The sequence below is a fragment of the Homo sapiens genome, chromosome 9, assembly GCF_000001405.40.
Source record: "Homo sapiens chromosome 9, GRCh38.p14 Primary Assembly".
In the NCBI taxonomy this organism is placed as follows: domain Eukaryota; kingdom Metazoa; phylum Chordata; class Mammalia; order Primates; family Hominidae; genus Homo; species Homo sapiens.
Genome location: NC_000009.12, coordinates 131,041,493 through 131,060,851, shown reverse-complemented (window position 1 = coordinate 131,060,851; position 19,359 = coordinate 131,041,493). Strand labels below are relative to the sequence as shown.

At 52.1% G+C, this 19,359-nt stretch overlaps 1 protein-coding gene across 3 annotated transcripts in view, besides 5 other annotated features; it reads right to left on the bottom strand.

The window, feature by feature from the left end:
• Positions 1–19,359, bottom strand: part of LAMC3 (laminin subunit gamma 3) — an 85,300-nt gene that overhangs the window by 33,622 nt on the left and 32,319 nt on the right. For all 3 annotated transcript variants that reach the window (XM_011518121.2, NM_006059.4, XM_006716921.3), the window contains exons 7-12: positions 19,117–19,215; positions 15,192–15,328; positions 11,722–11,832; positions 8,169–8,361; positions 7,887–8,002; positions 3,705–3,923 (exon numbers count right to left, since the gene is read on the bottom strand). In XM_011518121.2, coding sequence (XP_011516423.1) covers positions 3,705–3,923; positions 7,887–8,002; positions 8,169–8,361; positions 11,722–11,832; positions 15,192–15,328; positions 19,117–19,215 — 875 coding nt within the window. The remainder of the gene's footprint in view (positions 1–3,704; positions 3,924–7,886; positions 8,003–8,168; positions 8,362–11,721; positions 11,833–15,191; positions 15,329–19,116; positions 19,216–19,359) is intronic.
• Positions 2,173–2,674: an enhancer, noted in NCBI's record as "H3K27ac hESC enhancer chr9:133933565-133934066 (GRCh37/hg19 assembly coordinates)". NCBI's record gives its function as "activates a minimal SCP1, AML or CMV promoter by ChIP-STARR-seq in primed H9 embryonic stem cells {active_cell/tissue: H9 hESC(primed)}" and the evidence as "EXISTENCE:reporter gene assay evidence [ECO:0000049][PMID:30033119]".
• Positions 2,680–2,894: an enhancer blocking element, noted in NCBI's record as "candidate insulator 9-2; strong CTCF association in K562 cells". NCBI's record gives its function as "blocks activity of the beta-globin HS2 enhancer when located between the enhancer and the Agamma-globin gene promoter in a lentiviral reporter assay in K562 erythroleukemia cells {active_cell/tissue: K562}" and the evidence as "EXISTENCE:reporter gene assay evidence [ECO:0000049][PMID:24098520]".
• Positions 7,982–9,181: an enhancer, noted in NCBI's record as "BRD4-independent group 4 enhancer chr9:133927058-133928257 (GRCh37/hg19 assembly coordinates)". NCBI's record gives its function as "activates an origin of replication core promoter dependent on BRD2, P300/CBP, MED14 and CDK7 cofactors, and independent of BRD4, by STARR-seq in HCT116 cells {active_cell/tissue: HCT116}" and the evidence as "EXISTENCE:reporter gene assay evidence [ECO:0000049][PMID:35650434]".
• Positions 10,292–10,792: an enhancer, noted in NCBI's record as "H3K4me1 hESC enhancer chr9:133925447-133925947 (GRCh37/hg19 assembly coordinates)". NCBI's record gives its function as "activates a minimal SCP1, AML or CMV promoter by ChIP-STARR-seq in primed H9 embryonic stem cells {active_cell/tissue: H9 hESC(primed)}" and the evidence as "EXISTENCE:reporter gene assay evidence [ECO:0000049][PMID:30033119]".
• Positions 13,831–14,104: an enhancer blocking element, noted in NCBI's record as "candidate insulator 9-5; strong CTCF association in K562 cells". NCBI's record gives its function as "blocks activity of the beta-globin HS2 enhancer when located between the enhancer and the Agamma-globin gene promoter in a lentiviral reporter assay in K562 erythroleukemia cells {active_cell/tissue: K562}" and the evidence as "EXISTENCE:reporter gene assay evidence [ECO:0000049][PMID:24098520]".

Below are 19,359 nucleotides of genomic sequence, written 5' to 3'. Positions count from 1 at the left end.
ACCACTTACTGCCTGTGCAAAGCTGGGCAAGTTGTCTGATGCCCCCACACCTCAGTCTCCCCATCTGCAAAATGGGAACAACCACAGCACTGACTTCAAAGGGTTCTCGTCAGGGTCCAACAAGACCATGCATTCAAAGTACCTTGCACACTCTCTGGCACACATACTCATCGCTGCTGTTATTATTATTATTATTATTATTATTAGTTGAGACAGAGTCTCACTCTGTCACCCAGGCTGGAGTGCAGTGGTGCAATTTGGCTCACTGCAACCTCCACTTCCCAGGTTCAAGTGATATTACTGCCTCAGCCTCCCAAGTAGCTGGGGTTACAGGCGTGCGTCACCACACCTGTCTAATTTTTGTATTTTTAGTAGAAATGGGGTTTCACCATGTTGGCCAGGCTGGTCTCAAACTCCTGACCTCAAGCGATTTGCCCGCCTCAGCCTTCCAAAGTTCTGGGATTACAGGTGTGAGCCACCGTGCCCGGCCAGCACTGTTATTATTTTGTATTCCGAAACCTCTCTCTGAACCAAAAGGTGACATGGCTACCATTCGCTACACTGTTGTTTTCTTGATGCCAAGGGACCAAAAGGAAGAGCAACGTTTCCTAAGGGAGACACAGACCCAGAATTCTGGCCTTCACATGACTTTGCAAAGAGGCTCCCCTTTATGGGGTTTGGGATACACAAGGGATACCTAGTCTCAGGGGAGGGAACCCCTGTTCCTGCCCTCTGGCTCCTGATGACGGTGGATTCTGCAAACTCTTCTTCCCCAGGCCGACTGCACCTGGCATCTGCTCAGAGCCTGGGGTGCTTGGGAAGGGAGACCCGCTGCCAGGGACTGAGTGAGAAGCCTGGCTGAGAAGGGGTTAACCAAGACCACCACTTCCAGGAGGTCCCCAGGCAGCACCCCAGCAGCCAAGGCACAGGTGACCTGGGAGGAAGAGTGAGAACCAGGTCGCTCATGCATAGCAGGGCTGGCATCCAGGGGGAACTGTCCCAGCCTAGGCCCAGCACCCATAGGCTCATTCCTCCTCTCAGCCTAGGCAGCGGGGCTATACTGCCCGTTTCACAGATGAGGACTTGCCCAAGCTGAGCAGGAAGTTGTGGCAGGGCCAGAGGCTCTGTGGGGATGACAAACTGATCCCAGTCATGGGAGGACCCTGCTTCCTCCACAGGGGCTGCAGGAAGCACTGCAGCAGGGAGGGATTATGTGGCCTTGTCTGGGCTCGATTATCAATGCTTGCCATGGACACAAGAAGACAGAGTGCCCTGTATGTGGCGTGTGGCGTGTGGTTGTGCTTGCCCTCCCCGGCTAGGTCAGCTGACGTCTTTTTTTTTTTTTTTTTTTTTTTTTTTTTGAGACGGAGTCCGCTCTGTCGCCCAGGCTGGAGTGCAGTGGCGCGATCTCGGCTCACTGCAACCTCCGCCCCCTGGGTTCAAACAATTCACCTGCCTCAGCCTCCCTAGTAGATGGGATTACAGGCACCCGCCACCACGCCTGGCTAATTTTTTGTATTTTTAGTAGAGATGGGGTTTCACCGTGTTAGCCAGGATGGTCTCGATCTCCTGACTGCATGATCTGCCCACCTCGGCCTCCCAAAGTGCTGGGATTACAGGCGTGAGCCACCGTGCCCGGCCTTTTTTTATTTTTTTGAGATGGAGTCTTACTCTGTCGCCCAGGCCAGAGTGCAGCGGCGCGATCCCGGCTCACTACAACCTCCATCTCCCAGGTTGAAGCAATTCTCATGCCTCAGCCTCCCAGGTAGCTGGGATTACAGGCACCTAACCACACCTGGCTAATTTTTGTATTTTTAGTAGAGACAGGGTTTCACCATGTTGGCCACGCTGGTCTTGAACCCCCAACCTCAGGTGATCCACCTGCCTTGGCCTCCCAAAGTGCTGGGATTACAGGCATGAGCCCAAGTCTGGCCTCTTCTTTTTTTTTTTCTTTTTTCCTCTGGAGTCTTGCTCTTGTCACCCAGGCTGGAGTGCAATGGCATGATTTCGGCTCTCTGCAACCTCTGCCTCCTGGGTTCAAGCGATTCTCCTGCCTCAGCCTCCCAAGCAGCTGGGATTACAGGTGCCTGCCACCACACCCAGCTAATTTTTGTAGTTTTAGTAGAGATGGGGTTTCACCATGTTGGCCAGGCTGGTCTCAAACTCCTGACCTCAGGTGATCCGCCCACCTCAGCCTCCCAAAGTGCTGGGATTACAGGTGTGAGCCACCACGCCTGGCTACCGTCTTTTCAGGAAGAAAAATGCCCAGCAGCCTTCTTCTCAGACAGCCCCCACCTGCTCTGGGGAGGCAGCAGGTGTCTAGGCATGAAGCCGTCAGTGTGGGAGTGGAAGAGGTCTGAGTCCAGCCTTCTCAGGTGCCTCCTGGCCATGTGACCTTGAGCAAGGCCAGGTCTGCTCCTATAAAAGTGGGGATCAGTTGGCCAGGCGTGGTGGCTCACGCCTGTAATCCCAGCACTTCGGGAGGCTGAAGCAGGAGGATCACTTGAAGTTAGAGGTTTGAGACCAGCCTCAACATGGTAAAACGCCATCTCTACTGAAAATATAAAAATTAGCCGAGGATGGTGACAGGCGTCTGTAATCCCAGCTACACAGGAGGCTGAGGTGGGAGGATCTCTTGAACCCAGCAGGAGGCTGCAGTGAGCCAAGACTGCACCACTGCACTCCAGCATAGGCAACAGAGCGAGACTCTGTCACCCCCCACAAAAAATAAAAAATAAAACATAAAATAAAATAAAAAGAAGTGAGAATGAGTAGCCAGCAGCAACCAGGCCTCAGGAGTCCAGGCTGGAGGGAGGCACGGCTCTGCCACCTGCTGGCCATGCATCTGCACTGCAGCGTGGGGCCTTCACCTGTGAGATGGGACAGGAAGGGTCCCGGCCCCGCAGGGATGTCTGCAGGAGTCAATGATATAGTGTAGAGAAGGTGACTAGCACATGCAGGAACCTGGTGACACTATTTTATTATTTCCCAAGTGTCCTGAAAAGTAGAGACTTTCATTATCTGCGCTTCCCTAAGGCATTCCCAGTTAGCTATGGCTGAGCTCCTATGCAACCCAGGCCTGTGTTTTCAGAGCCTGAGCGTCTCCTGACCACCATATGGCTTTGTGTAGAAACAGAAGCAGTGTATATACTGTCATTATCTCCACCTTACAGAAGAGGAAGCAGGCTCAGGGAGGGAAGTGACTTTCCCATGGCCACTAAGGGGTGAGGGTGGCAGGTCTGTGGTTCTGGGTTGGTGCCTATGAGCTGCTGTCACCTGTGTGACCTTCTTGAGAACCCTCCTGCTGTCACCTGCCATGCTGGTGCCTCTGCCCTTCCTCACAGCACCCTCTGCATGTAAAGACCCCTGAGGTCTTTCCCTGGTCCTTCCTGGGAAAAGGGCCAGCCCAGGGAGAAGGTGGCGCGGACAGATGGCCCACAGAGCAGCTGGCTTATGGTTATCACCTGATACATACAAAGTCCTTGGCACAGAGCCTGAGGCTTCAACAAATTCCAGTAGTAACTTTTATTAAACTATGAGGTGCCCAGGCACTGAGCAGCACGGGAAAGCTCAGTGCCCGCACTGCCCCACAGCTTGGCCAACACCTCAATGCCTGTGCCAGGCTGGCCCTGTTCAGGTCAGTACTCATCCCGCTGTTTTGGGTATAACCCAGGTGCCTTCGGATGGGGTGCCAGGAGACTCACCTGTGTTGGGGTCACAGGTGCCATGCTGGTTACAGGTGCAGGGGACACAGCTGGCATAGGGACCCCCCTGTGGCATCTCCCTCTTGTATCCCGGAGCACAGGATTCACAGAACTGGCCCGTGTAGCCAGTGGGACATGAACAAATCTCCACCCAGGAGGCTGGCGGGGAAAGCCCTGGCCGGGCGGATGTGAGCCGGACCTCAGTCAGGAACACTGGACCTGCAGAGCGAGAAGGGAGAGAGGAAGAGAGGAGGCACAAGCTCCCTGCACATGCTTCCCCCCAAAACCTTCCTGTTCACATATGGACCAGGCCCACGTATATAAAGGCAGACTAGCAATCAATGATTTTTCTTTTTTTGAGACAGATTCTCATTCTGTCACTCAGGCTAGAGTGCAGTGGTGCAATCATAGCTCTGTAGCCTCGACTCCTAGTCTCCAGTGATCCCACCATGTCACCCTCCCAAGTAGCTGCGACTACAGGCAAGACACCAAGCCCAGCTAATTTTTAAAATTTTTGTAGAGATGGGGTTTCTCCATGTTGCCCAGGCTGGTCTTGAACTCCTGGCCTCAAGTAATCCTCCTGCCTTGGCCTCCCAAAGTGCTGGGATTGCATGTGTGAGCCACTGCGCTGGTTGATTTTTATTTTTATTTTTCAAATTGTCAATTCAAGGGTAAGGGAGATGATTAGGCAATTTTCAAGAAGAAATAGATATGGCTGAGAATTTTATGGAAAGATATCCATCCACAGGTTATTAACGATATATAGATTTAAACAACGATGATACCATTCACATCTCTCAGACTGGTAACATTTTATAGATGAATTTTAGTGGAGGATGGCGTGTAGGAAACTCACCTGGGCTACTCATAACTGAATGCTACATTTAGGCAAAGTTTAAGGTCTATTTCTAAGGTTTTAAGATTTTTCTTGTTGTTTTGGTTGTTTTTAAGAGAGACAGAATCTTGCTCTGTCACTCAGGCTGGAGTGCAGTGGTACAACCATAGCTCACTGCAGCCTTGAACTCCTGGCCTCAAATGATCCTCCTGCCTCAGCCGCTCAAGTAGCTGAGACCAAAGGTGTGTGGCACCACACCCAGCTAATTTTTTAAATTTTTTGTAGAAAAACGGTTTCGCCTTGTTGTCCAGGCTGGTTTTGAACTCCTGGCCTCAAGGACTCCTGTCTCAGCCTCCCAAAGTGCTGGAATTACAGGCTTGAGCCACCACGCCCAGCCTAAAGTTCTAAGTGTTATAGGAGATTTTGAGACTAATGAATGTAACAGGATTTTGATGTAAAAGAAGCTAATTGACACAGAAATGTCAGTGACATTTCTTACCTGCAAGGAAAGTGAACATCTTGTATTTAGATCAACTATAATGTGTACATTTTAAAAATAAAGAAATCTGATATTTGGAAAAAAAAATGGGCCGGGCGCGGTGGCTCGAGCCTGTAATCCCAGGACTTTGGGAGGCTGAGGCGGGCGAATCATAAGGTCAGGAAATCGAGACCATCCTGGCTAACACGGTGAAACCCCGTCTCTACTAAAAAATACAAAAAATTAGCCGGGCGTGGTGGCGGGCGCCTGTAGTCCTAGCTACTCGGGAGGCTGAGGCAGGAGGATGACATGAACCCGGGAGGCGGAGCTTGCAGTGAGCAGAGATCATGCCACTGCACTCCAGCCTGGGTGACAGAGCAAGACTCCGTCTCAAAAAAAAAAAAAAAAAAAGAAAGAAAAGAAAAAAGAGTGTGGATGTACGAATACTAATCAGAAGGTTTTGCTTCCAGTAACAGAGGAGCAGGGGATCCTGGCAGATCAACCTTCCCACAGAAAACAACTATAAACTCTGGGCAAAATATGAAAATGACCATCTGTAGACACAGAACAGGGAGACTGGAGGCGGCCGACACTCCTCATCAGAGCAGCCTTTCTGAAGGAAAATTTGGCAGTGTGGATCAAAATGGAAAATGCTCCCTCTTTGACCTAACATCTCCATTTCCAGCACTCTGTCCTAAAGCGACACTTATACTGGAATACCAAGACCTTTCTATGAGGCTGGTCCCTATTCCCTGTGACACGGTTGTAATGGGGAAAACTGGAGGCCACTTAAGCGCCTGTCAATAGGGGGATGGCTAAAACCTCACAGAGCACCCATACCACAGAATCTTACACACCAGACACAGAAAACCAGGCTTTCTACGCGTAATGACAAGGAACAACCTCCACGACGCACTGTTAGCTGACAAAAAGCAAGTCCCAGAATATCGTACTGTGTGATTACCTTTCTTTCTTTTCTTTTCCCTCCCTTGCTCCCTCCCTCCCTTCTTCTTTCTTTCTCTCTCTCTCACTCTCTCTCTCTCTTTCTCCCCCTCCCTTCCCCTCTCTCTTTCTTTTTCTTTCTTTCTTTGAGACAAGGTCTGGCTCTGCTACCCAGGCTGGAGTGCAGTGGCATGATCTTGGCTAACTGCAACCTCCGCCTCCCAGGTTCAAGCAATTCTCCCTCCCGAGTAGCTGGGATTACAGGCACATGCCACCATACCCGGCTAATTTTTGTATTTTTAGTAGAGATGGGGTTTCACCATATTGCCCAGGCTGGTCTCAAACTCCTGAGCTCAAGTGATCCGCCCGCCTCAGCCTCCCAAAGAGCTGGGATTACAGGCGTGAGCCACCACGCCCGGCTGTGTAATCACATTTCTATGTTTTTAAAAAAATACAGATGTTAAGTACGTACACACAGAAAGGTTTAGAGAGAGGCCTCCCAAAACATTACCCATGGAAAGAGGAAGTTTGGGGATTGCGGGTGCTGGGGAGGGTCGCTATGTCCTCTGCTTCTCCAGGGCATCCCAGCACCCTTGGACTCAAAAGAGGCCCAGGGGAAGACTGACCCTCTGAGCCAGAGGTCCTCAAAAAGAGCAAAATCTCCCTCCCCTGGAAGCAAATCTGAGGACATGTTGGTTGTCATGTGGATGAAGAGGCCTAAAGTTCCCAGAAATTGACATTCCCAGAAACTCCCCACATGACTTTCAAATGTCCTGCGTGGTGCTGGAAGGGTAGAAAAACCCCTTTGTAAACATCTGAGCCTAGAGCTCAGCTTCATTTTACACACATACACTAGGGGTTTTGTTTTTTGTTTTGTTTTTTTTTTTTTAGAGACAAGGTCTCGCTTTGTCACCCAGGCTGGAGTGCAGTGGCACAGTCACTACAGTCTCAACCTCCTGGGCTCAAGCGATCCTCCAGTCTTAGTCTCCTGAGTAGCTGGAATTACAGGTGCAGACCACCCCACCAGACTGTTTTTTGTTATTGTTGCTGTTGTTGTTTTGAGATGGAGTCTGGCTCTGTCGCCCAGTCTGGAGTGCAGTGGCGCAATCTTGGCTCACTACAACCTCCGCCTCCTGGGTTCAAGCGATTCTCCTGCCTCAGCCTCCCAAGTAGCTGGGATTACAGGTGTGTGCCACCACGCCCAGCTAATTTTTGTATTTTTAGTAGAGGTGGGGTTTCACCATCTTGGCCAGGCTGGTCTCAAACTCCCGACTTCATGATCCACTCGCCTTGGCCTCCCAAAGTGCTGGGATTACAGGCGTGAGCTTCTGCGCCCGACCTATATTGATTTTTAAAATAGCGTGTGGGTAGAGGTTCTAATGAGGAACAGATCAGAGGCTAAGGCTGTCAATCACTGTGACCAGGGTGGGAGGTGGTGACAGACCCCCATCAATGATGTGTGATGGCTTGGCCCCCTCTTTGGGAAGACCAGACCCTCCTAGGGTGGCTTAGGTACAATACCGCCAGTGACCAGCAGGGGAGTCACTCTGCCAGGGGACTCCTGGACTGCCGGCTGTGGGCTGTGTCCAGCGGGGACAGGGGGCTTGGTGGATCCAGTGAAGGTGGAGTGAGCACACCCAGCGGGTCTGGGTGGCTTGCTGGCCGCACACCTGCCTCTGAGGCCCATCCTTCAGGCCTCTCTCCTGTCCATTCCCTGCATCTGACCTCAGCCACCATCCCCATTGCCTTCACAGGTTATATGGCCTCTGGCAACTGTCCTGACTTTTGACTAAGGTTCCTTCTTGGCAAAACAGGACAATAACCACCCGGCCGCAAGGCCCTGACAAGACTGTGACCGCCGGAGCCCAGCCCAGTTCTGAGACCTGGCAAGCACTCGGGTCTTGGGCATGTGGTTGTCTTTACTGACCGGCAGGGCTGGGGCCGGGACTGACGCGGAGGCGGAGGCTGGTCAGGTTGGCGAGGAGCCGCTGGAAGTGGAAGGGGGGCAGTGGAGGGGCCACGTCCTCGGAGGTCTCCTGCAGGCTGGCGAGAGAAGCGGTCAAAGTGAGATCCCGACATAGGGTGGGGGGGTACCATGCCTGGGGATGGGGGGTAGCCCCCCAGACTACAGGGGCATCTGAAATGTGCCCGGACCTCAGAGACCACCCCTCTCACCTCCCCATCTCTCAGGACAGAAGGGGATACTTACTGGAACCTGAGCTCTACCTCCCTGGGATGCCCGGCATCCTGGGGGCCAGACAGGCTAGAGTGCCTCAGGGACAGGGCCAAGCCTGTCCCTTCCAGCCTCAGCTGTACAGGGAGTGGGGAGTCCCCGGGGGGCACCCGGAAGGTCAGTATGAGGGGCTGCCCATAGCTGAACCGCTGGTCTCCCAGGAACTTCTCTGAAGACAAGAGAAGAAGGCTTTGACAGTCTTCATATGGTTAGCTTGATTTTAAATGTCTATGTTGATTTTATCGGCAACTAAACATTCAAAAAAGATAAAAGTGCAGTGGGTAGAAAATCAAAAGCTTCCTGCACAGCAGACCCTGCAGGGGGCCCACCCACACCTCTGCAGTCACACACGCCCCCACACTTGGCTTCATGCTCTGCTGTGACCATCTTCACATTCTTAATAATTTTATCTTTGAACTTGGGTTTTAGAAGTGACGTCCGATGGAACACGGAGTCCGAGGGTGAACGGAGGGGATACACACACGTGTGACCAGAGAGGCTGCCGTCTGCTCATGTGTAGCATTCACGATGCCCATGAGCACGAAATTCCTAGGGAACACCCAGCAGCAGGAGTTTAGCGGGACCTCCAGGTGACAGCAAGGTAAGTGAGCTGGCTGAGTGAGCAGAGGTGCTCTGGGCCCCGGGCCATGCTTTCCCTTCCAATCAGAACTTGCCCTGAACTCGGAAAGAAGGCACTAGTTTTCTGAGACACGAACCACCAAGCGCTGTGCGGTACCTTCTGACTCATGTCATTTCACTGCATCAGCCCATCATTTCTTCAGAAGTTCGTGACCCAGGAGGAAAGGACACAGGCCACCCTCCCTCCTCCTTTCCCAGTACCCTCCCTCCTCCTTTCCCAGTGGTCTTTCCCTTACCCGTGAGAAAGCCACAGAGGTGTGCCATGTTGGTGGAACATGCGTGTGTCAAGGAGTGAAATAAAAGTGGCTGGGCTTGTTGTGTGCAGTATTTCCACTGTCCTCGTAAGAACAAAATACGCAGCCTGGCATTGTGGCTCACGCCTGTAATCCCAGCACTTTTGGAGGCTGAGGCGAGTGGATCACAAGGTCAGGAGTTCAAGACCAGCCTGGCCAAGATGGTGAAACCCCATCTCTAGTAAAAATACAAAAAATTAGCCGGGCATGGTGGTGGGTGCCTGTAATCCCAGCTACTCAGGAGGCTGAGGCAGGGAATTGCTTGAACCCAGAAGGCAGAGGTTGCAGTGAGCCAAGACCACGCCAATGCACTCCAGCCTTGGCAACAGAGCAAGACTCCGTCTCAAAAAAAAAAAAAAAAAGAATGGTAAAATTCATGCTAATAACTTTATATGTTTCATGCTAATAACTTAAAATTTTCCTTTACCTAGAATGGCATCAAATAGCAAACCAAAAAACACCATGACAAATAAAGGGCAAAACTGCAGGGGAAAAAAAGTGTTTATATTTTAGTACCTTTAATAGTACTTCCCCCTATTTGGGAACTGGGGGGGTGGGATTTTAATTCTGCAGTGCATCCCTCAAATTCTGTAGCGCGCCCCGCCACAGCTTTGGTGGACAGCTCCCGAAACACTGAAAGTCCCTGTGTCCCTCTGCCCCAGAGCGTTTCCTGGCTGGGGGAATTTCTTACCTGTGCAGAAGCGGCCTGAAGCGGGGAGCCCCGGGAGCTGGTGGCCACATGCCCCGGCTGCACTCCGATTCGGCCTCCAGAATCAATCACCAGCACGAGCGCAATGCTCCCCTCCCATCCTTTGCTACTCACGTTCTACACGTGAGATGGTTTCACACACTGTTCCACAACCGGCCGCATCACAGTCCACCAACAGGCTACCCAGCCCCTCCTGGGACTGCCCCAAGCTTGCACCATTAAATACTCTTTTTTTTTTTTTCCTTTTTTTGGAGATGGAGTCTCACTCTGTCGCCCAGGCTGGAGTGTAGTGGTGCAATCCTGGCTCACTGCAACCTCCATCTCCCAGGTTCAAGCAATTCTCCTGTCTCAGCCTCCTGAGTAGCTGGGATGACAGACATGCACCACCACGTCTGGCTAACTTTTTTGTACTTTTAGTAGAGACGAGGTTTCACCATATTGGTCAGGCTGGTCTTGAACTCCTGACCTCAGAAGATCCCCCCCAACCTCAGCCTCCCAAAGTGCTGGGATTACAGGTGTGAGCCATTGCGCTCGGCCTAAATACTTATCTTCCCTCAGCTCCTGCTCTTTGCCCCACTGAGTGCTCGTAGGCAGAATACAGAAGGTGGACATGCTGGCCAGAGGGTCGATGTGTTCATTCCCTCTGATGCTGTCACCAGCCAGCCCAGACGTTTGTTTCTGTGTCCCCACCGTAAGCAACAGGCAGAAGCCTGGCTCCCCTGCCATGCCCTCACCTCCAGCTGCTCAGGGTGCCCCGGGAGCGGGCCGGCCTGAGAGCACCATGAGGACAGGCCGTCCATCCATCTCACCCCTGCAGTGTGCCCAACACCCAGCAAGCGCTTCTTTCAGGAATAAGCCCCTTTTCTTACATATGCCAGCAGAGTGGCCATGGAACAGAGTGAGTTTTTTGCTCATGGGCCTCTGAGCTTGGAGCGCCTGCCCCACGAGGGGCCCGACGCCTTTGACTTCCTGGCTGCAGGGCACACGGCTCCTCAGCCACCTGTGACATCATCTCCCCGGCCTCTCTGGCAGAGGGAGGGAGGGAAAGGGCAGAGCTGGTCGGGGGTGCTGGCAGGTCCTGAATCAGCCACAGTGGGGCTAAAGATGGGCTCTAGGCTCTGGGTTCTGGGGCTGAGACAGTCGCCAGGAGACCACAGTTCCCCTCACTGTGGGGTGGAGAGGTCAGAATGATCAAGAACCTCCTTCCTTTTGCAAGAATGCCATGGCCCTGGGCTTAGGGTGCAGTGGCCTGGCGGGTGAGGGGCTGATGGGAAACACAGATTCTCTGGGCCATGACAGTGGCTATGGCCCTGTGGCACTGAAGAAGCCCTCCATGACAAAGCTATGACCAGAAAAACGGGGGTTTCATCAGATACGGTGGTCTGATGGCAGAATAACAGCCTTCCCAAGGCATCCACATTCTAATCCCTGGAATCCATAAATATGGTGTGTTCTGTGGCAGGGGACATTAAGGTTGTTAATCAGCTGACCTGAGGTAGGAAGAGCCTCTTGGGTTATCCAGCTGGGCCCCATCAATCATTAGAGATTAATGGCAAATACACAAGAGGGAGGCAGGGGAGTTGGTGCCAGTGATGGGGCGTGAGAAAAACTCAGCTGCTTTGAAGATGGAGGAAGAGGCCATGAGCCCAGGAATGCAGGCGGCTTCTAGAGGCTGGGAAAGGCAAGGAAGGGACTTTCCCATGGGCCTCCAGAAGGAACTCAGCCCTGCTGACACCTTGATGTTAGCTCCGAGAGACCTATTTCTGACTTCTCCAGAACTCTAAGAGAATAAACTGGCATTGTTTTCAGCCTCTAATATGCGGCAAGTTGTTTAGCAGCAGGAGGAACCGACACAGGGCGGCCAGCCCCCACCTGGTGCTGGAGGTACCTGGTGCTGTGAGCTCCTCCTCGTCTTCTGGGCTCAGGAGGACCCCATTTGGGCTCCATTGTGGGGGGTGCTCAGAGCCCCCCACACTTCTGGCCCACCAGCCTTCGGCTCCTAGACAGCAAACACAGACACCCCCCGATCAGTGTGAGGCCCCGGAGGGTGGTCTCCAGGTGCCAGCCCCAGGTGGGGGCCCTGGGGTAGGAGGGAGCCCCAGGAGAAGCTAGAAAGCTCAGGGACCCGGATCTGCTTGGGGGCATGGTCAGACCTGGAAGCCTGCCCTGCCCTTTCAGTGGGGTTTTGAGCTCAGCATGAAGACAGCCTGAAGACCCCCACATGGGGGCCCTGGGACATCAGGGCCATCTCTAATAGTACCAGACTTGACCTCATCTTCAGGTTCTCAGAGAACTTTCTCACCTGTGACCTCATGAACCCTGTCCTTCCAGTGGCCCATGTCATTAACAGCACCTCAGGCAAGGAGGCCACCTGGTTAGGAAGGGGCCCAGCCACGACGGGAGCCCAGGCCTTCTGGTCCCCAGTGCCAGTTCAGTGCCTCCTCCCTCTGGCCACAGCAGTTAACACGGAGCACAGCCCAGCACACAGCGAGTGACCTTAAGGAGGTGCCTCTCCAGGGGGTAGCGGGCAATGAGGCAGAGGCCAAATACCTGGGGCAGCCAAGGGGTAAGAAGGAAGGAACGGAGTGGGGAAAGAGGTCAGAGAAAGGAAGATGTCAACATGAAGAGAAGTTTGCAGACAGGCATTTAGAAGGAACTAGAAGGCCAGGCACAGTGGCTCATGCCTGTAATCCCAGCACTCTGAGAGGCCGAGGTGGGTGGATCATCTGAGGTCAGAAGTTCGAGACCAGCCTGGCCAACATGGCGAAACCCCATCTCTGCTAAAAATACAGAAATTAGCCAGGCATGGTAGCAGCTGCCTATAATCTGAGCTACTCAGGAGGCTGAGGCAGGAGAATCGCCTGAACCCGAGAGGCGGAGGTTGCAGCGAGCTGAGATTGTGCCACTGCACTCCAGCCTGGGTGACAGAGCAAGACTCTGACTCAAAAAAAAAAAAAAAAAAAAAAAAAAATCAGCTGGGTGTGGTGGCTCACACCTATAATCCTAGCGCTCTGGGAGGCCGAGGCAGATGGATCATGAGGTCAAGAGATCAAGACCATCCTGGTCAACATGGCAAACCCCGTCTCTGCTAAAAAAATAAAATAAAAATAAATAAAAATAATAAAAATTTAAAAACTACTTGTTTTCTTTTTTTTTGAGACAGAGTCTCACCCTGTCACTCAGGCTGGAGTGCAGTGGCGCGATCTCGGCTCACTGCAACCTCTGCCTCCCAGGTTCAAGCGATTCTCCTGCCTCAGCCTCCCGAGTAGCTGGGATTACAGGAGCTGGCCACCACGCCTGGCTAATTTTTGTATTTTTAGCAGAGACGGGGTTTCGTCATGTTGGCCAGGCTGGTCTCGAACTCTTGACCTCAGGTGATCCGCTCCCCCCACCCCCACCCCGGCCTCCCAGAGTGCTGGGATTACAGGCGTGAGCCACTGCGCCCAGCCACAGTTTCCATTTCTAAGACAGCAAATATCCATACAAACCACCCACATAAACAAAAGCACTTTGGGGTTCTCAATAATTTTCAAGAGCATAAAGGGATCCAGAGGCCGGGTGCGGTGGCTCACACCTGTAATCCCAGCACTCTGGGAGGCTGAGGAGGGTGGATCAGTTGAGGTCAGGAGTTCAAGACCAGCCTGACCAACATGGTGAAACCCCCGACCTGTACTAAAAATACAAAAATAAGCTGGGCGTGGTGGTGGGTGCCTGCAGTCCCAGCTACACAGGAGGCTGAGGCAGGAAAATCACTTGAACCTGGGAGGCGGAGGTTGCAGAGAGCTGAGATCACGCCATTGCACTCCAGCCTGGGCAACACAGTGAGACTCCGTCTTAAAAAAAAAAAAAAAAAGAGGAATTCAGAGACCAAAAAGTTTTGAGAACTCCTGCGCAAGGGCAACTGTGAGACAAAATGAGATGACACCCCTGAAGGGCCGGCCACACCCAGTGCCTGGCCCAATGTGAGAACAGATCATGACACTGTTCTTAGGGTCTAGAAAATGAGTCCTGCCCAACGCTGACACCCTAGACCCCCGGACCCAGGACCCAGACACGCGGCGCCGGTCCGCGCATCTCTCGGTCCTGCTTTCTGCGCGGCTTCCAGCAGAGGGCGCGCGGCCCTCATGTCTGGGGCCGCCCCAGCGTCGGCCCTGAGGTTCTTCTGTTTCAGCTGATGCCTCGCTCCTTCCTGGGGACAGGCGGAAGGTGCGGGGCGCTCCGTGGGACATCGCTGGGGCCCACGCAGCCTCTGGTTTAATGCAGAGCTCCGAGCTCTGCTGCTTTCCTCTTTAAATATGCGGCTGTGCCACCTGGAGTCAGGGACCACGGTATAGGCCACCACAGCGGTTAAGGGCAAAACAGCTGGGCGCGGACACTCATAATCCCAGCACTTTGGGAAGCCGAGGTGGGCGGGATTGCCTGAGCTCAGGAGTTCTAGACCAGCCTGGGCAACATGGTAAGACCCCGTCTGTACAAAAAAAAAAAAAAAAAAAAAAAAAATACAAAAATTAGCTCGGCATGGTGGTGCACGCCTGTAGTCCCAGCATTTTGGGAGGCGGAGGTGGGCAGACTACTTGAGCCCAGGAGATTGAGACCAGCCTGGGTCTAAAGACATGGCAAAACCCTGTCTTTAGAAAAAAATATAAAAATTAGCCGGGCACGGTGGTGCACACCTGTGGTCCTAGCTACTCAGGAGGCTGAGGTGGGAGGATCACGTGAGCCCAGGGAGGTGGTGGCTGCAGTGAGCTGTGCTGTGCAATCTTGCACCACTGCACTTCAGCCTTGGTGACTCAGCAAGACCCTGTGTCCAAAAAAAAAAAAAAAAAAAAAAAAAAAAAGGAGCAAAACTCAGGAGCTGACAAATGCAGTGCTCACAACTGTTATGTGGCCTCAGGCAAGTGGCCTACCTTTTGTAGGTCTCAGTTACTTCATCATTGAAAGGGGAATGAGAATCCTTGCATGTTAGGTGCTCAGCACAGTGCCTGGCAAACAGCAGGTGCTCAATAAGTGGAGGCCAGGAGACTGAGCCTGAATCCCCAGTGTTTAGACACACCAAGGGAGGCCAGTCTCAACGGGGTGAGTGGGAAATTCCCCTACAGGATCCAAAAAGCGTCACGTACCCGGCCCCCAACCCCACCACGGGTATAAAGAGAAGAGTCAGGGACTGGGGAGGGAGCTGGGGGTCGCAGGTGGGCACTGGGGAGCCATCATCTCACCCCCGACCCCACCTAGGCTGTGCAGGCCTGTGGCTCCTCTCCACAATGGGAGATCCACTAATGCAAGATCTCCCCAGGGCAGGATCACCTGCCTAGGCTGGGAGCAGACCCTTGGGAGGCGTTTGCAGGGAGCATCTCTTACCCTGGTGGAAATCGCTGAGGATGTGATGCACCTGGAACTGGGCAGTGGACGCGCACACCTTGGAGTGGCCATAGCAGAAACAGCTGCTGCAGCCAGCTGGATTGTGGGGCTGCAGGTTAAAGGTCCCCGGGCGACATCTGAAATGGAGGCAGGACATGCCCACGAGGGCCACGTGAATCAGCCAGGAAGGGGCGGGGCCAGGGTATCCCAGCTGGACCAATGAGAGTCTAGAATCACTGCAGAAACTTAAAAACAATTTTTTTTCAGAATTCTAGAAGAGTAGTAAGAACATTACAGATTGTTCCCATACCTGCTTCAGACAGCCTCCCCTGATGCTGACATCTGACATTACCACAGTACATTTGTCAAAACTAAGTTAACTAAACTCCAGACTTTATTAGGTTTTGTTTTTTTGTTGTTGTTGTTTTTTTTTTTTTTTGAGACAGAGTCTTGTTCTGTGGCCCAGGCTGGAGTGCAATGGTGCAATCTTGGCTCACTGCAGCCTCCGCCTCCCGGGTTCAAGTGATTCTCCTGCCTCAGCCTCCCGGGTAGCTGGGATTGCAGGCGCCTGCCACCACACCCGGCTAATTTTTGTATTTTTAGTAGAAACGGGATTTCACCATGTTGGCAGGTTGACCTCGAACTCCTGACCTCAGGGGATCCGCCCGCCTCAGCCTCCCAAAGTACTGGGATTTCAGGCTTGAGCCACCGCGCCCAGCGACTTTAATAGGATTTCTCCACTTTTTCCTCTAATGTCTGGTTTCTGCTGCAGGATCCCATCCAGGACACGGTGTTGCATTTAGTGGTATCCTTGTTCTCCTCCAACCTATCACCGCTTCTCAGTCTTTCCTTGTCTGCCACTATCTTGACACTTTTTGAAAAGCACTGATCAGGTATTTTTAGAATGTCTGATGTTTCTCATGATTAGACCAGAGTTATAGGCTTGGGAAAGAAATACACAGAGGTGAAGTACCCTTCTCGTCATATCACATGGGGGCACAGGAAACCCACATGACATCCAAGCGATGCTGACTTTCATCACCTGTGCTGTCTACCAGTCTCTCCACTGTGCAATCACCACGGTCCAGTCATTAGAAGCAAGTCACTGAATAGGCCGGACGCGGTGGCTCAAGCACTTTAAATTTTTTTTTGAGACGAAGTCTCGCTCTGTTGCCCAAGCTGGAGTGCAGTGGCACGATTTCAGCTCACTGTAACCTCTGTCTCCCGGGTTCAAACAATTGTCCTGCCTCAGCCTCCCAAGTAGCTGGGACTACAGGTGTGCGCCACCATGCCCGGCTAATTTTTGTATTTTTAGTAGAGACAGGGTTTCACTATGTTGGCCAGGCTGGTCTTGAACTCCTGACCTCGTGATCCATCCACCTCGGCCTCCCAAAGTGCTGGGATTACAGGCATGAGCCACCGCGCCTGGCCGGCTCACGCACTTTGGGAGGCCGAGGTGGGTGGATCACCTGAGGTCAGTTCGAGATCAGCCTGACCAACATGGTGAAACCCCATCTCTACTAAAAATACAAAAATTAGCCAGGCGTGGTGGTGGGTGCCTATAATCCTAGCTACTTAGGAGGCTGAGGCAGGAGAATCGCTTGAACCCGGGAGACAGAGGTTGCAGTGAGCCGAGATCATACCACTTCACTCCAGCCTGAGCAAAAGAGCGAAACTCCGTCTCAAAAAAAAAAAAAAAAGCAGCAAGTCACTAAATGCAGCCCAGTCTCAAAAAGAGGGGGATTAAGCTCGACCTCCTAGAGGAAGAGTATCAAAGAACCCACGGACAGATGTTAAAGCCACCCCAGTAATTAATAGATATTTTGAGGTTATGCAAATATCCTCTCTTTCCTTAAAGTTCTGCCCACCAATGTCAGCATTCATCGGCAGCTCTTGCCTGTAGCAATTACCACTGTGAGGTCTGAACAGTGGTTTTCCAGTTCCTTCATTTCTACATTCATTACTTGGAATTCTTCTGCAAGGAAGGTTTGTCTCTTCATGCCCATCTATTTATGTATTCAATCATCTATTTACATCAGTATGGATTCGTGGATTTGACTTTATTCTCTGGGTTATAATCCAATACTATCGTTTATTTTGTTGCTCAAATTGTTTCAGCCCTGAGAGCTCTTTCACGTCGGCTCCTGTGTCCTTTTGACATGGGCCCACGTTCTGGTTTGGGCTGTTTTGTTTGTGTCTGTCTCTGTTTTTCAGCATTTCCTTGCTTCCTGGCACTGTAAGACGCCTTGGGCTTATCTTGTCTTTTTCCAGCCCCAGCCCCAGAATCTGCCACTTCTCCAAGCAGCTCTGGTGAATGTCAGACACAAAGCCAGGAAGAAGAGATAGTGTGTACCCAAGGAGCTAAACCCATGTTTGTCTGCTGGCCGCACTGCTGGAGCTTGGAGGCCTCTTGAACACTTGAAAGAGGAAGTTTATGTACTTCCTGGCCTTGGGAGAGCCCCTTTGACTTGCAGAGCTTCAGATGCCCCATTTGTACCATGATCAGACTGCAAAGATGGCAAACAGGCTCAAAATCCAGCTCAGTGGGTAGGGGCTTCCTGAAGCAGGGTGTTAAGAAGGATCCTGAGGTTATAGTAGGGCTCATGGCCAAGACTGCTGTGCCCCATTAGTGATGTCTGTTGTGGGTGTGAAAGGGGAGGGTTGTGATAGTGTTGCCTTAGTGATGTCTGCCATGGGTATGCCATCAGTGATGTCTGCCATGGTGTGAAAGGGGAGAGTTGATGGTGCTCCATTAGTGATGTCTGCTGTGGGTATGAAAGGGGAGGGTTGTGATAGTGCTCCCTTAGTGATGTCTGCCATGGGTATGCCATTAGTGATGTCTGTTGTGGGTGTGAAAGGGGTGTGTTGACAGTGCTCCATGAATGATGTCTGCTATGGGTGTGAAAAAGAAGGGTTGTAGTAGTGCTTCATTAGTGATGCCTGCCATGGCTATGAAAGGGAAAGTTTGATATGGCACCATTAGTGATGTCTGCCATGGCTGTGAAAGGCAAGGGTTGATAGTGCTCCATTAGTGATGCCTGCTGTGGGTATGAAAGGGGGAGGCTGTGATAGTTCTCCATTAGTGATGTTTGCCATGGTTATACCATTAGTGATGTCTGCTGTGGGTGTGAAAGGGGTGCATTGACAATGCTCCATGAGTGATGTTGGCCGTGAGTGTGAAAAGGGAGGGTTGTGATAGTGCTCCATTAGTGATATCTGCTGTGGGTAAGAAAGGGGAAGACTGTGATAGTGCTCCCTTAGTGATGTGTACCATGGGTATACCATTAGTGATGTCTGCTGTGGGTGTGAAAGGGGTGTATTGACAGTGCTGCATGAGTAATGTCTATTGAGTGTGAAAAGGGAGGGCTGTGATAGGTCTGCCGTGGGTGTGAAAGGGTTGTGATAGTGCTCCGTTAGTGGTGTCTGTCATGGGTGTGAAAGGGGAGCGTTGATAATACTCCATGAGTGATGTCTGCTGTGGGTGTGAAACGGGAGGCCTGTGATAGTGCTCCATTAGCTATGTCTGCAGTGAGTGTGAAACGGGAGGCCTGTGATAGTGCTCCATTAGCGATGTCTGCCACAGCAGGTGGTAGTACGAGCACCATCTATTTACTATCCCTGGATTAGATGGTCTCTCCTATCATTCCAGTTCTTTCTTTTCAGGATTCTAAGCTAAGACATGTATTTTCTCAGCTTATGAATGATCAGTGGTGTTGAATCAAAGCACAAACAGTGCCATAAAGCTTTTGAGTAACTTCCTGTATGACAGATACATGGTGCCCCAGGAAGGGCACAGGGTGACAAGGTCACCCAAGTCCATGAAGACCGTGCCCCTTGCTCCTCCCCGCACTCCACAGCTTTGGTGCCTCATCAGTGAGCCCCCAGGTCACTTCCAGCAAGCTTACTGCTGGATTAGCTCACAAACCTGTCACATAGGTTGCCTTCCACATTCTCTTTGCAGGGGCAGCGCCCACTGCGGGGGTCACAGGTGTCCAGGCTGCCAGCGGGATTGCAAGTGCAGGGTCTGCCAATGAGACAGGACAAGAGGAAAATGTGCAATGAGCAAATTCAGAATGGCAACAGCCCATCCTAGGAAGGGAGCTTTCCCTGCTGCCAACATCAGGAGTGAGGCTGACGCAGGTAACTGACCTGGCTTTACTGTTCCCAT